General features: G+C 40.0%; 1 long non-coding RNA gene across 1 annotated transcript; it reads right to left on the reverse strand.

Moving 5' to 3' along the window:
• Positions 1-457: 457 nt before the first annotated feature.
• LINC00485 (long intergenic non-protein coding RNA 485) lies at positions 458-15,574 on the reverse strand. The gene is made up of 5 exons (NR_033855.1): positions 15,471-15,574; positions 13,883-13,938; positions 12,273-12,392; positions 5,043-5,147; positions 458-3,791 (listed from the first exon to the last, which is right to left on the reverse strand). It is a non-coding gene; the product is annotated as a long intergenic non-protein coding RNA 485 (long non-coding RNA).

The raw sequence follows: 15,609 nt of genomic DNA on the forward strand, positions 1-15,609 counted from the left end.
AATGTCACCCAAGGCCAGGTGCAGAAGCTCACACCTGTAATCCCAGCACTATGGGAGGCCAAGGTGGGAGGATCACTTCAGCCCAGGAGTTCGAGACCAGCCTGGGCAATGCAGGGAGACCCTTATCTCTACAAATAATAACAAAAAATTAGCCAGGCATGGTGGCAGGCACCTGTGGTCCCAGATACTTGAGAGGCTGAGTCTAGGAAGTTGAGGTTGCAGTGAGCTGTGATTGCGCCCCCACACTCCAGCCTGGGTGACAGAGTGAGACTCTCTCAAAAAAATAAAAATAAAAGCCATCCAAGTTAATGTTAACTCAAAGCTGCAATACAGATGGTCATAAATAAAACATTCCATATAATGAATAACCTTTTGATTTGATAATTTATATGAGGGGTATTTGACATTTTTGTTGCAGTTATCAGACAGAACTAAGAAAAAGATAATCTGTTAATGAAACTAGGTCATCTGTTTATTTAATCATTGAATTAAAATACAAGCAAAAGAACAAGTGATATTTTTAGAACGATCTACAAAAAAATTTGACATTGCACCTCTAATTAGAGACAGATCTATTTCATGTCTAACCTTTAGTCTTATTCTTCAATTTTGTTTTCACCTTCTTTAACTCAGTCTTAATTTTCCTGTTTCCTTTTTTTTCCAACACTGGCAAGTTTTTAATCCTTTAGAAAATCATTTCCAAAGAATAGTACACATACCACTTTAGATGGAATAAAGATATTAACTTTAAAATTTATATATTAGAACAATATAATTATTCCTTCAAAATGATGAATTCTCAGATATTAATGTTTAAAAAAATAAATTTAAGCAAAGATATAAGACAATTTAAAAAACGCTAGATAAATAATAGTAGTCGTATCTTGATAGAAAAAAATCATGAAGTTGGTGTGTAAAAAACTGAAGTTGAGAAAACATTGTTTAAGGTAACTATCAGTATTACCTGGCATCAACCCCCTGGCATATTATCTCTTTTTTTTTTCTTTTCTTTTTATTATTATTATACTTTAAGTTTTAGGGTACATGTGCACAATGTGCAGGTTAGTTACATATGTATACATGTGCCATGCTGGTGCGCTGCACCCACTAACTCGTCATCTAGCATTAGGTATATCTCCCAATGCTATCATATTATCTCTTAATTGTTTTAGATTTATTCTAGAAAGGCCTTGTGTTGGCCATTGCTATCATGCTTGTTCCAGCTGCAATACTCCAGCATTATTTAGAATCTCAGCCTTCTTTTCGAACTTCCATGAAGAGGTGAGCATTTTTCCCATCTCCCCAACACATTCCACACCATATTTAGCTTCCCTGCTAGACCTGTGGCTTTCTATTCTTACCCATCTGCCATATACCCTTTTTTCTTCCTGAGAAGTCCCAATTCGGACTGGTATTGTACATACTTCAAATACACTGAATAGTCTTGGTTTAGTGGCATTCACTTTGAGAACTTAGATTAATATGATAAGAGTCTTTCCATCAAATCAAAATTCAGTCGTTACCTGTTCAATTATATGATGGGCCTGTGGACTTATATTTTTAGTTATCTTTTAAAGCGGGGCGGCATAAAGCCATTGCTTTATTGAAGCATTTATCAGAGTATCCCATTACATACTTGTCCTCTATGTTGATTAGAAGGAATAAAAGGGTTCCAAAGCCAAATAAATTTGGGAAACACTGAATGTCAAATTCCCCCTCTTGGAATCTCCCATTGCAAAGCATTACGGTGTCATGATTAAGCATGCAAGTTCTGTAACTAGATGGCCCCAACCGGAAACTCAGCCACCAGTTATAAGCTCCGTGCCTCTGTTTCCTCATTTGTAAAATGGGGAACACAATTAGTGCCTATCTCATAGGACTGTTGCCAAGTTTAAATAGGCCACTGTGGGTGATGTACTTTGCACAGAGCAAGTATGCCATCGTGTTTTGTACGACAAAACTATATTAGGCCCGGCGCAGTGGCTCACACCTGTAATGTCAGCACTTTGGGAGGCTAACGCGGGTGGATCACCTGAGGTCAGGAATTCGAGACCAGCTTGGCCAGCATGGTGAAACCCCATCTCTACTAAAAATAAAAAAAAATTAGCTGGGCGTGGTGGTGGGCGCCTGTAGTCCCAGCTACTCAGGAGGCTGAGGCAGGAGAATCAGTTGAACCTGGGAGGCGGAGGTTGCAGTGAGCCGAGATCACGCCACTGCACTCCAGTCTGGCAATACAGCGAGACTCTGTCGAAGAAAGAAAGAAAAGAAAAAAAAAAGTATATTAAACATCGTGAGAAGTCCTGCAGGGTTAAAACCCTATTTAACTTGGTTCAACCCAAATTTATTTGATTTTGGAAGCGTCCTTCGAGTATAAGTCTTTAGAATATTCATGGGTCCATAATTTGGAAGACTTGTGTTTGAAAGCCAGGAGCTCAGAAAGCCAATTGCTTCCTTCGAGGTACTTTTCTGTGTGAGGGTCTGCTGCCCCCAGGTGGACAGAAAGACCTTGGCTGGAAACCCAGAGTCTGCCCCGCCAAGCTCCCCACAGGTGTAATTAAGAGAAAGTAGAATAAATAAATAATTTTTTCTGTTACTGTGTGTTTTAAAATAATTTGAGGAAGAGTTATTTATTAAAATACTAAGTATAAAAATGGATATTACTAGACAGAGGGAGTACCAAGAGCTAAGACTCGAAGTTGCTCCTCATTAAAAGACAATCTTTTTATTTTTGTAGCCCCTGCTTGGAGAACTGCTGACAGGCACACAGTAGGTATCAACAAATATTTGTGGAATAAATGACTGGCTCATTGACTTATTACAAAGAAGGGCAGAAAATCTGAGTGAATGTTATGTCTCTAATTATGCTCTTTAGGGAGCTCAAAGAACAGCTGCAAATATGTATAAAAAATTCCAGGTAAATGACTGGGAACCTTTTCTCTGGGAAGATCCAGTACTCATTAAGGAAGAAAGGTAAGCTAATAATGTTTTAACAAATGTGTCAGCTAGAATTAAAATTCAAAGGCTCTAAACAGATAACCAGTAAATTTGGCTAACCAGAATAACCAACCCTATAAACATTACAACCCTATAATTAAGTATAATTAAGTTTTTCTCTGAAACAGCAATGTGAAAAAGTGGAAGATGAGACCAGTGGTTTTCAACAGGAACATACCAAAGAAGTTTCTACTTTCCAAGTTTCTAAACTCATTACTTTTTGTTCTTGTCTTCTCTCCTTTTTCTCTTTATTTGTATTACTGTTCAATATGAGCCGTTTTGTGGACTGTAGTTGGGAAGACAGACATAAAAGCAGTAATCTAACTACTCACACTAGAGAACAGGGGGTGATGGAGAGAAAACCTGTTCATTGTTCAGTTGGAGGCCTGAGGTTCTGAGCAGCAGTAAGTGCCTTTGATTAGGTGAAGCAGAAGTAGCGATGTATCAGAAAGGCATTGGGGAGCTCCGCTCCCGATGTGTAGAAAGAATGAAAACAGAAAAGCTCAAGCCTCCTCAGCAGTAGAAATTCACGAGCTTTCTGTCATGGATCATTAACACTACTCATTTCTAATGACAGTTTCTGTATCTCTGTGTTTACAGTCAGAGAGAGGGGAGCCGACTGGCCAAACTGAGATCAGAAGTGCCTGAATATTTCCCATTTGCTTCTCCAAGTCCATTCTTTTTTCTTCCCCACCCTTGTCTGTTATGCTCTGAGCCCCAGGCGGGTCAGCCTGAACGGACTGAGTCATGGGCCCTTTACCCTCCGACTTCCAGTTGGGTTCAGCCGATGGAGAGTGCTGTAGGAGATGAGAGGGAAAGAGGGGAGTGATTAGGATATTTATTCCCCTAGCTCCCTCCCTGCTGGGCCACGTGGCCTGGCTACCTCCCTCCACTCAACGTAACAGCCCCTGTTAAAATCTTTCTTTCCGTTTAAGTTTAGGGGTGGGGCTTTGCCTATTCCTTGTAGATTTTTTTACAACTTGCCCATTGCTTGTATGCAGTCCCCATAATGAATTCCTCCCAATTTACTCAATTTGAGTATTCCTTCTATTCCTGTTGGGTCCTGATAGATAATAGAGAACTACCACACAATCCATCATGCAATTACTCAGCATCTCTGGGCTACACTTTCCTCAGCTGAAAAATAGGTCAATACTTCATAGGGTTATAGTAAGGCTTAAGTGGGTTAATATATATAAAACTTGGCACATTAAAAAAAAACCAACAAACCTAGGCTATTATTATCGACATTTTGTCCTTGCAATGAGGACATTAAATATATTTTTATAAATGTGATTAAAAATGTTATGTTTGTAAGAGACTTCACATAAGCACTTTTTAAACTCAGTAAAGATTCATGTGTGACCAAGTGTCTCCATTTGGGCCAGGAGAAAGTGAGATTATAATAGTTCTGCTAGCCTTCCCAGGAGTAAGTAGGTAGTGGGTTTCTGAACTAATTGTATGGATTGACTTATGTTAACTTCTTAAGAAATGGGCTGTGAGCAGCCTTCCGCCCACTGATCACTCCCAACCTCTGAACCCATCAGTAATGAGAGCCCATCTTCAGAGGAGCACCAAAGGCAGACACTGCCCTCTCTTCATGGAGCACCACTACCTGCTGGCTCATCCTGCACGATTAAAAATATTCCCTTTAAAAATGTCCCCTTCCAGGGAAGGCTCTGGATCCCAGAATACTAGATAATGGGTTTACTTACTCTTCACAGACCAAAGCCAGTTCCACAATGTCTGCCCTTAACTTCTATTCTCTAGACCTGTGGTACCTTAGAAAGGAAGAGATTTGCTGAGAAGGCTCCATCTTTGGGACATGGCCCCATTTGTTCAACAAGAGATTTTGTTTTGGGGGTTTTGTTTGTTGTTTGTTGTCCCCCCAAGATAAGAAGTTACCACAGTCCTAAGGTTGAAGAGTGTCATTGAAGGCAGGCAACATAGCTTTGTTAAAAAAGCATGAGGTCTGAAGCCAGAGACATCTGGGATTAAATCCCACTTTGGTCATTTATTGGCTGGATGACCTTGGGAAAGTTACTCACCATCTCTGGGCTGAAGGATCATCATCAGTAAATCGGGGGATACGTCTTGTTTCTGTAGGATTCTTGTGAAGATTGTGAGAAGATGGAAACTGCCTGACAGGGTGCCTGACACAATCAATAAACGGTGGCAATTATTGGCAGAAATAGTAGTCGTTTTCATTCTTAAAGTCCTTACCTGTCATGCAGAAATACTCCAAAGCATCTCATAGACCCATATATTCTGGATTGGGAGGGGCCAAAATATCCAGTAACTTCAACAACCTCTCCTCCCCAACCCCCTGCCAGACAGAACTCTACAAAGCCAGTGGGAAAGGTGTAGGGATCCTCCTGGCACTTCCAGCTGGCTTAAATCTAGACACATAACTACAGTGCGCAGTTAGTGAGGGCTCACTCTGTGATGGGCACTGCTCTAAGACTTCCATAAATATTTTCTAAGTTAATACTCAACACAATCTGTGTTGTAATTCCTACCATTGCCCCCATTTTACAGATGATGAAACTAAGCCTCAAAAGAGTTAAGTGACTTTTCTAAAGTCACATAGCCCATGAGTGGACACAGAATTTGACCCCAGGCCGTCCTCCTTTTTAACTGCTCTATTGTGCTGGCTCAATATCTGGCTAAAAGACACAACAAAATAGTCATAGGCTTTACATGCTAACATGGCTACTTGGACTGAATTGACTCATCAGCACAGCAACTGATCTGATTGATTTGAGCATGCTGCATCTATTGGAAGTATAGGTGTCCTATAGACCAGAGCTTCTCAACCCTGGAAGCATACGAGGATCACTTGGGGAGCTTTTCAAAAAGCACCAATGCCTGTACCTTAATGAAAGAGATTCTCATTTAATTGCTCTGGGGTGGAATCTGGGCCCAGAAAATTTTCAGATCTCCCAAAAAGTTCTAATACATAGCCAGTGTTGAGAATCACTGGTGTAGACTCTTCTCGTCCTTGATGGTGACACTTAGTCACAGAGCTTCTTGGAGTTCTTTAGAGGTTGGTTTTGTTTATCTTGACATTTCGTTCAGAACTAATTAGCTGATCCTCATACACTAGGCAATAATACATTGTGTAAATTCTGACTTGGGACACCACTTTGCATAGAAATATGAGACTTTCCAAAGAGAACATTTTTCTGTATTACTAAATGTAGTCAAGTTTCCTTTGGAAAATGGCAAAATCCAAATCTCTTTTTCCTACTAATCATGTATTGCAAAAAGATTGCCTTGAAACATTGCAAGGCAGCCAACACCATTCAGTAAATTACACCATGTAACTGGCTTAGGCCTCATTAGGCTTGCCCTCTTTGGCCTTATCAAGGGAACAGCCACTTCCCTTTGCAATCCCTTCTGGGAATGGATTTCTTCACTTTCCCCTGAAAGGTCAAGACATTCATCTTTCCCTAAATCTCTCATCAAGTAGTGACAGTTCAGCCTTTTTTGTTATCTTGTTGTGCCTCTCCTTTGAGGAGGAATTTTACTTAAAAATTAAAGATATCTTCAATTGTAGATAATTTATATTTGAAACCAAAATAGAACAATCTTATTTTGAAAAAGAATACTTATAGCGAATTGTGTTAGATGTCTAACCAGCATTCCTCTTCCTCTTTCCTAACAGGATGTGATTTTGTTTAGGTATCTGTCCCCTCCTTTGTACAGTTCATGTGTATTCAATGTCCATGTATGCTCATAATTCCATTTGCTTATCCTTCTCCACTGTGACCTAGAGTCTGAGTGCCTGATCTGGTGATGAGTGTGCATTGATGGCATTAATGGCTTCCTTGCACTGTGGCTTTCAGAGGGAGGGTGGGTATTTATTCTTCTGGCTTCCTTCTTTGCTAGGTAGTTGCAAGTTGACAGCATCCCTCTGTGAATGGACAAAGAACCTCTTGGGCAACCCTCCCTATCTGATTCTCGGCACTTGTGTTCTAATAATAACCCCCTAATCCTCAGGCTGAGGGAGGTATTGGTTCCTGTTGTTGCCAGCCCTGGACACTGCACCATCCCTTGCTGAGTTCCCTAAACTTTGCCCACAGCTTTATGGTCACTTTATTAAATTCTTATTAAACTAGTTTCAATGTGCCATCTGCTCCCTGCTGGGACACTGACTGAGATGTGTGACTCATATCTCCAGTTCCAGGGTCTGGATCTTGATTGTCCTAACCTAGTCACGCTATCCCATGTACCAGGGATCAGTTCAGACACCGGGGTTAAGGCAATCAGTGCGCGGAACTTCCTTAAGAAATATTAGTGATGCAGAGGTGAGCACCTGACTTACGTTGGCCAATTAGATGGAAGGGAAGAAGGAAGTACCTGGCTTAAGCTTCCGGTAGTAGCTGTCTTGTGAGTGAGAGGGAAGATACTGTGAGCACAAAGAACACCTCACGGGGCAGAGCCTGGAATTATAGCACTGGAGCCCTGACTGTCACGTATATGAGCTTATTGTTATAGGAAATAATAAATCTCCTCCTAGGTTAAACCCATTTTAGTTTTGTTTTTGTTTTTGTAATTTGCTGCTGAAAGCACCATAGCTAATGTGATTTATTAGCATTTCTTTTAGTTGTGTAGCAGCCATGGGGTTTAAAGCATTTCCCATGCATTGTTCATTTTCACTTTTTCAAAAGCCATGTTAATGATTATAATAATATTAATAGTTAAGGTAATAAGTAGTAATTATATCTATGTGCTAGGCACTATTCAAAGCACTTTATAAGTGTTAATTTGGTTAATCATCACAACTCTATTCAATAGGTACTACTATCATTATTATTATGGTTATTAGATGACAGAAAACACTGAGATATCAAAAACATGTATCAGGTCACCCAGCTGGTAAGTAGCAAAGCTGAAATTTGAGCTCAGGCAGTCCAATCCCAGAGTCTGTATTCTTTATATGAATGTATCCTACCACTCATATTTCAAATGAGGAAACTGAGGCTCAGAGAGCCAATGAACTAGTTAGGAGAAGAATCAGGAAAACTAATGTTGAGCAAAATCTACTGCTATTTCCACTATGCCACATTTTCCTTCCAGTGAGCTTCCTATCAAGGCCTTTTTAATAATTTGTGGAGCAGTTAATGCAAATGAGAGCTCTCCACCCTTCCAAGTTGTCCTTGTGGAACTGGGGCAACATGTGAGGAGAGACTCCATCTAGGGGCCACTAAGTATAGTGCAGTCTAAAGATTACGCACGTGATATTCAAATCTTATACACTCTCTAAAAGAATTTTGCAAATATGTATACCCCTCAGATTTTTTTAAGTCACTGCCTAAAAATTTATCCTATGTCATAAAAATGTAATCGCTGGTGTATTAAAATATTCACATTTAAAATAAAACGGTTAGCTAATTCTTCTATTGGTATCCATTGAAATCTGATTCCATTGCAGCTTGATACTCACAATAATCCAGCCGAAAGCTGTGGTATGCACTTTGCTAATAGTTAGAAATTTTCTGTTTGTCCTCTTTTCTTGAAACCATATTTTCATTTCATATTGCTCACAAAATTTTGTTGCAATGCAATATATTTTATTCCTAAAAGCATTTTATTGATCTTCACAAAAAAAATGAGTATAAATTAAGCCTCTTTAAAACTTTTTTTCCATGACTCTAAGATCCTGAGGGTTAAAACATGTTTTGGATTGAGTGATATTTACAAATATTATTAATACACAATTTATAAATAATTGCTAACCACAAAAGTGCACTATAATTGGAAATGCATTTGTTAATTAAAATGATGGAAAATTTTTTAACCCTCTTAGTTTATGCAAAATTTATTTGTTACTAAAATGAAACAGGAACCAGTATTGATTATTTTTGTTTGGGTTTTTCCCCATTTTTTATGGTTGTAGGTGCTGAGAAACTATATAGTAATGCCACTCAATTCTTTGAGCACCTTCAGGTTATTTGGCAAAAGTATATCATGATCTATTACCAAAGATGATTTTGATGAGCAATCAGATGTTTATTTTCTTCACAGTCTTTATCAGACAAAATAATCATATCCTTCATTTGTTTCTTTTAGTCTCCCCTCCTGCCTCCCTCTGTCAGGATACAGATATTATAAAAGCAGAAATCTTGTCTGTATGCTTTGGAATAGTGTCTGTCACATCATAGGTGCTTAACAAGTATTTGTTGAACAAATGCCTGAGGCAACCCACGTTCAAAGGAAAGGCAAGTACAGCGATTCTGTTAGGACAGGGGATAAGGGAAGATTGGATGTGTAGGTGATTGTGGTCTTCATGATCTCCACTGTTAAAGCTTCCTTCTTCACCATGAGTAGTAGCCTCTCTGAAGCGCTGTTGTTCCAGCAGAACAGGGATTCTCCCCCCATCCCCACATGTGCAGTGAGGTCAGCTAATTTTCCTGTATCTCTGGCCTCAGGTACCTTAGCAGGCTCCCCTCTATCCTCTCCTCAGTAGGTTCTCTTACTAGATCCCCCAGTAGGCTGAATGGCCATCTGTGGTGTCCTTGGGTGATTTTGACGTGTCTGGTGTTTCCATGAAACTTTGTTTATTCCCCAGCTCTGTGCAACTTGGGCAAACGCTTCTAGAAAGACCCAATAATACTTAACAATACCACACTTAACATGTCCATGCCATTGGAAGGTCTACAAATTACAATTTTATATCGAATTTTTATAATTATCATGGATTTGTGAGGTGAACACCCTAAATTTAAAGGTGAGAAAACTGAGGCCCAGGAAGGTAAAAATCAGACGCCCAATACTACATCATCCTCAGATGGCTGAGTATGAGTTTGAATGCCTCAACTAGAAATAGTATAGATTTAAATTTAAGCCCAGCTTTGTTCAGCAACTTACCAGGGAGACTACAAAAAAAGTAACTTAATGTCTCTGAATTTTAGTAGACTCAGTAAAATGCAACCATTAAAACCATTTAATGTCAGAAGGAAATTAATATATTTATAGCGTTAACACTCCCCAGTACATTATTTTTCCTGCCATGAAGCAGTATTATTATTACCCCCATCTAAAGATGAGAAAACTGAGGCATAACATAGCAGAACAGCATAGTCCTCAAGAGTCTGGGCTTTGGGCCAAGTGTGGTGGCTCACGCCTGTAATCCCAGCACTTGGGGAGGCAAAGGTAGGAGGATTGCTTGAGGTCAGGAGTTCAAGACCAGCCTGGCCAACATAGTGAAATCCTGTCTTTACTAAAAATACAAAAAAAAAAAAAAAATTAGCTGGGTGTGGTGGCATGCATCTGTAATCTCAGCTACTCAGGAGGCTGAGGCAGGAGCATTACTTGAACCCAGGAGGCGGAGGTTGCAGTGAGCTGAGATCGTGCCATTGCACTGTGCCAGCCTGGGTGACAGAGAAAGACTCCGCTAAAAAAAAAAAAAAAAAAAAAAAAAAAAAAAAAAAAAGAAGAAGAATGTAGGCTTTGGAGTCAAGTTGCTTGAGCCAGGTCCTGGCTCTATCATTAACTAGCTAAGTAACTTTGGGCTAGTTACTTAATACCTGCCTGGCACAAGGTAAAAGTTAATATAATATATGTCAACCACTGTTGGGCAACTTTTCCAAGACCACAAACAAACCATGATAGTGCCGAGGTTCAAAGCTAATTAGCCAATTTGGTTTCAGAGATTCTGATGTGTACCATAACGCTGTTATCTTTGGAGCCAGAAAGTCAGGAGATAGGAAGATAAATATGAGAAAGAAAGAAGAGCTGGAGGTTTGAGACTGATAAAAAGTACAGGAAAAGAGAGAAGAGCAATTTGTGGCGCATCAGGGCATTTTACTGTATGGCAAGAAATGGAATTTCCCATAAGTTGCCCTTTCCAAAGATTCCACTAAAGAATTATATTGCTTGACAATGTTTTTTGTTGTTGTTTTTTTGTTTTTGTCATGATGACATTTCTTTAGAAAGAAGTACTATTTCTAAAATAGGACATAAGGTAGCCCAGCTTTATTTGGGTTAAAAGTTCTAAAAGAATTTCAGTAGTTCACTCTGGATAGAGCCTCCAATGTGGGGTCTTGGAAAGAAGGGGCAGAAATTCCTAGGGCAAGCACCACTGTGTGTTTCCTAGGCAGTGATATGGTCTACATGCTGTGGATCCTTATTCTATCCTAGGAACTGACCAACCAACTGATCAAGATATCAACCCGCTAAGGGTGGCCAGACAGAAGCATGCTGCCCCCATGTCTGTTTCTATCTATCCTCACCTCAGTGCCCATACTAATTAGAACTCCTTTTCTCTCCAGGAAACTTTATCCAAGAAGCCCCACTTCCCCTTCCAAAGCAGTTTGGTTCCTGGAAATATTCTTGGCCTGGAAAAGAGAAATGGTTTCCTATTTTCAGCTGGTGTTAGGTATTATTTGTGGCCACCTGCTAGATCTCAATAAACAGATTCTGCATGAAATTATAGCCTTTTTGTGTTCCAAAAACTAACTCTCCTCTTAGCCTGTAGTACGTACAATAACAAACCCAATATCAACAATCATATCTATCATGCAGTAAGCAATCACCACGTTTGCTTGTTGAAATGAATCCTGTGTTTTTGAGAAGGTCACCTCACCTGACCTCAGCTGGGGAATTTCTGTGCTGCAGAATGTCTGTGGTCTCTTTTCAGCTTTGAGATGTATAAATCTGGTATGTACCATGAGGTCCCTTATGGTTCCTCAGTAAGATTCTATTGCTGTTTATTATTATTATCAATAGGAATAACAAGGGTTAACATTTCCTGGACACTAACTATATGCCTTTGTATTAAGTACTTACTATATATAGTATATATAATCCTTACCAAAAAGAATGTGAAGTATGTATTATTTTCATTATCCCCAATTCATAAACAGGGAGACCAAAGTTGATGTAGGTTAAATAAATTCCCCAAGGTTACCCAGCTAGGAGTGGAGGAGGCAAGATATAAACCCAGCCCAGACTATTCACTCCAGACTACTCACTCTACTGTGTGGAATTACTCTCTCCAAGTTACACATGAACAAGAGAGTTCAATTTACCTTTGTCTATATATTTGGGGCTAGAGTTTTTATAGTACAACATATTGATTGGCCTAAATTTCTAGCCATATTCTTAGGAAAGATAGGGATCTGCCTGTCAGCTTCTTGCGTGATAGTGGCAATGATGGCATTTATTTTCAGTGCAGATAAAAAGCCTGCCTAGAATCTTCTTTTTGGAAGGTTGAAGAGTATAACCAATAAGTTGTGAGGTGGAATTAAGATAAACAAGTGCATTTTACTTACAGGGTGAAAGTGGTCCATACCAGATTCATGATTGGTTACCAGGTGATTGCAGTTGTCAAGATCTTGTGTTTTTCCTCGGAAACAAGGAAACTGTAAGAAGGAGAAATGAAGATATCCGAGCTAAGAGAGAAAAAAAGAGACATTAGCATTAATCATTTATAGGATAAGGGCTAATAGATGAGACTCTTGGGGAAAAAACAACGCAGAAGCTTGGGTGAGAAACACACACCATCATCATCATCATCATCATCATCATCGTCTTCATCATTGTCGTCATTATCATCATATGCACATATGTCCTAGTTTGGGTCTTTTAGAAGCAGACTCTGAGAAAAGGATCCTGGTGGAAATAGTATAGTTGGAAACTAAAAATAGAAAAATGGGAAACAGAGACAGGTAAAGAAAGGCAATAATTACATGGAGTGTTATCAGGCAGGCAGCTATTATTGTGGGCAACTGAGCTTACTGCCTCTGATAAAACTTTGAGAGTCAGTGAGGAAGAAAGCCTCTACCAGCTCTTACTGGTCATTGGTAGAGGAATAATGTGATGCAAAGGTATTAATTCCTAGGAACTTTTGGTCTACCATAAAGGCAAAGTGCCTTAGAATCTGAATAAAACTTTTAAAAAGAGAAACTTAGGAGCTGGCAGTTGGCAGCCAGCCATTCTGCACTGAAAAGGAAAGGGCAGAAGGGTGGGGGGAGGGTCACTGAGAGCATCTGAAGCAATTTTGCTTTTAGAGGGTAAGAGACAGATGGTAGCTAACATGTACTGAATGCTTAGAATTCGTTTAATTTTCACAGTCTGCATAGAAAGTGTGTATTATTGTTGGCATTTTGTAGTTAACAAGAAGTACAGAGAGGTAACATATTTGTTCATGTGGGAATAGCTGGTAAGCGGCACAGCTGGGAGTTGAATCCAGGGGTCCTGACTCAAACCCTCCACGTTATTCCATCTAACTATGCAGACTGTAGCGTCAGGTTCCTTAACCTATAATCTCCAGCTCCATCCCTCTTGTTCATTATGGATATTTTTATCCAAAAAGGACCAATTTGCTTTCAACAGGTTTCCACTCTCCTTGATTTGCATTTTTTCCACGTAGGATTAGTGATAATAACTACTACAGTTAGCATTCTGCTAAGCTCCTTACAGGCTTGTCTTCCTTAACACTCCCATCAAACCTATAAGGTGGATACTGTTATGTTCTCACCTTACCAGTGAGGAAACCAAAGCACAAGATGATGAATAACTTGCTTAAGGTCATGTATTGAGTGAATGGCAAAACCATGTTCAGCCCTTGTTTAACTATGATGTTCTGCTGTCTCCTTAGTTAGAAAGGCTTGAAATAGCAAAGTTGTGTGTAGACTGTGGCACATGCCAATTCCAGGAACTGCCTTTAAAGTGGAACAGGTTTGTAATCATAGCCAATCCAGGGAAATGGCAGAACTTTATCTCCATCCTCAGTTTAGATTCAGAGCCTCTGCATAGAGAAATACAATGATTTACCTCTTTCTTTTGGGTGAGCATGCCCACATCTGAGCTCTTGTTTTAAGGCATCAATAAACATGGTGACAATGGACTTAGAAGTGTTACATTTCATGTAAATTTTCACCTGAGACAAAGCATCCGTGGTCTTGGCAGGTCTGAATTCTAAATGACGAATCTTTGCTTCAAGGGATTGAAAGGGAGAGATGGATCAGTAATTGAAATCTTCACGTACTTGCTTTTTATCCTCAAATTTCAGTAATATTTTATGACATAAAATAGTAAAATAAAAATAAAAACAGCAAGAGTAACAAGTTCAAATTACCTTTAATCACATTATCTTTCTTCTTTTTAAAACAGCATGTGGGATAAAGAGCAAGAGCAGTCTTTGACCATCATTTCAGACCCAGTAGTAACCACTGGCAACATTCCCACTTGCTAGTTTCTGTTATCCTCTGTGATCATGCAAACATACATATATCCATGTATATACATATACATCATTAATAGCGTTTTTCAAAAAATGGAAATGTGGTCATGCTTTTTGTTTGCTTAAAAATACCTCATAGACTTCCCTAGGTCATTATTTATAGATTTACTTCATTTTATTTTGAACTCTTGAACAATGTTCTGTTACATAGATAATAATTTATCTGAGCAATCTTACTAGTGGGCACTTGGCTTGTATTGCGACATTTGCTGCAGAGATCATGTTGGTGTATTCTTTTATACTCCCCAAATGGTGTCTTTTTAGAGCATGCAGCACTTGCCTGAAGATATCAGGTGGTTGTTTTTTTCTGTCTTCAACTAAGTAGGTAAAGCCTAACTGAATATTTAGTTTTCAGATTTCCAGACACCCTTTTACAAACACTTCCTGCTTCTGATTCTAGTTCGGATACCCATAACCAACAGCAGTAATTTATATTCTAAATCCTTAAAGACAACAGCATGTCTGCATTCCCATTCTAATGCCCAACCAAGAAGAAAACTTGGTGGCCACCTTCCACCTTCCTCTATCTTCTCCCCACTGCCTAGTCCAGCCTCCCACTCTCTCTACGACGAGCCCTGAGTCCTTTGGGGGTTAACAGAGACCGAACACTTGGAAGCCATTGATCAAATGAATTAAAATATGCTTCCCAGAATTCCTCACTCATCCCCCCACACCCCTCCTCACACATACACAAAGAAAGGTCCAACTCTTTGAACAAAGGTTGCACTTGCAAAAAACTTCTTCAGTCTTGGAGAAACAGACTTTTTCATTGAGCTCTCCCCTGCACTTAAAACAGAAGCCAGTAGAAAAGACCAACCTGAAGCAGAAGGATCTCACACTCCCTCTCCACCTTCCACCAGAAGGAGAGAACCCCCAGGTCCCAACCCATCTGGGCCCTGGAGATTCAACCTTCTTCTCAGCTCTCTCCATGGGACCTGAAGATTGGCAGGTCTGGGAAGAAGGGAGGTGGGGAGTGTGAAGACCTACCAGTGGCTGGGGAAAGGGGAAGCGCGATGGATGAGTGAGTTTCACATCTGGCTAACCTCTTTCCTCGAAGAACCAAGTTAGAAAGAGCGTGGAGAAGGGATAGGGAGGGGAAAGTGGATGAGGACTGCTCTTATTATGCTGGGAAACCTCAGTTTCACTGTACAGTGAGGCCTCTCATACGTCTCTGGTCTCTCTCTCTCATTTGTGAGCAAACAAGAGTTCTCAAAGGAAGTGGTACCTGAACGACGTGGGATACTTTGAAAGCAGGCCTTCACCCTCCATCTCCGGGGGCTCCGCGGCCGCCTCCTCCCCGCTGTCTGAGCGCTGCCTCTCGGGCGCAGTAGCTGAGCTCCCAGAGAGGGACGGACCTAGATCTT

Source organism: Homo sapiens, chromosome 12 (genome assembly GCF_000001405.40).
Source record: "Homo sapiens chromosome 12, GRCh38.p14 Primary Assembly".
Classification (NCBI taxonomy): Eukaryota; Metazoa; Chordata; class Mammalia; order Primates; family Hominidae; genus Homo; species Homo sapiens.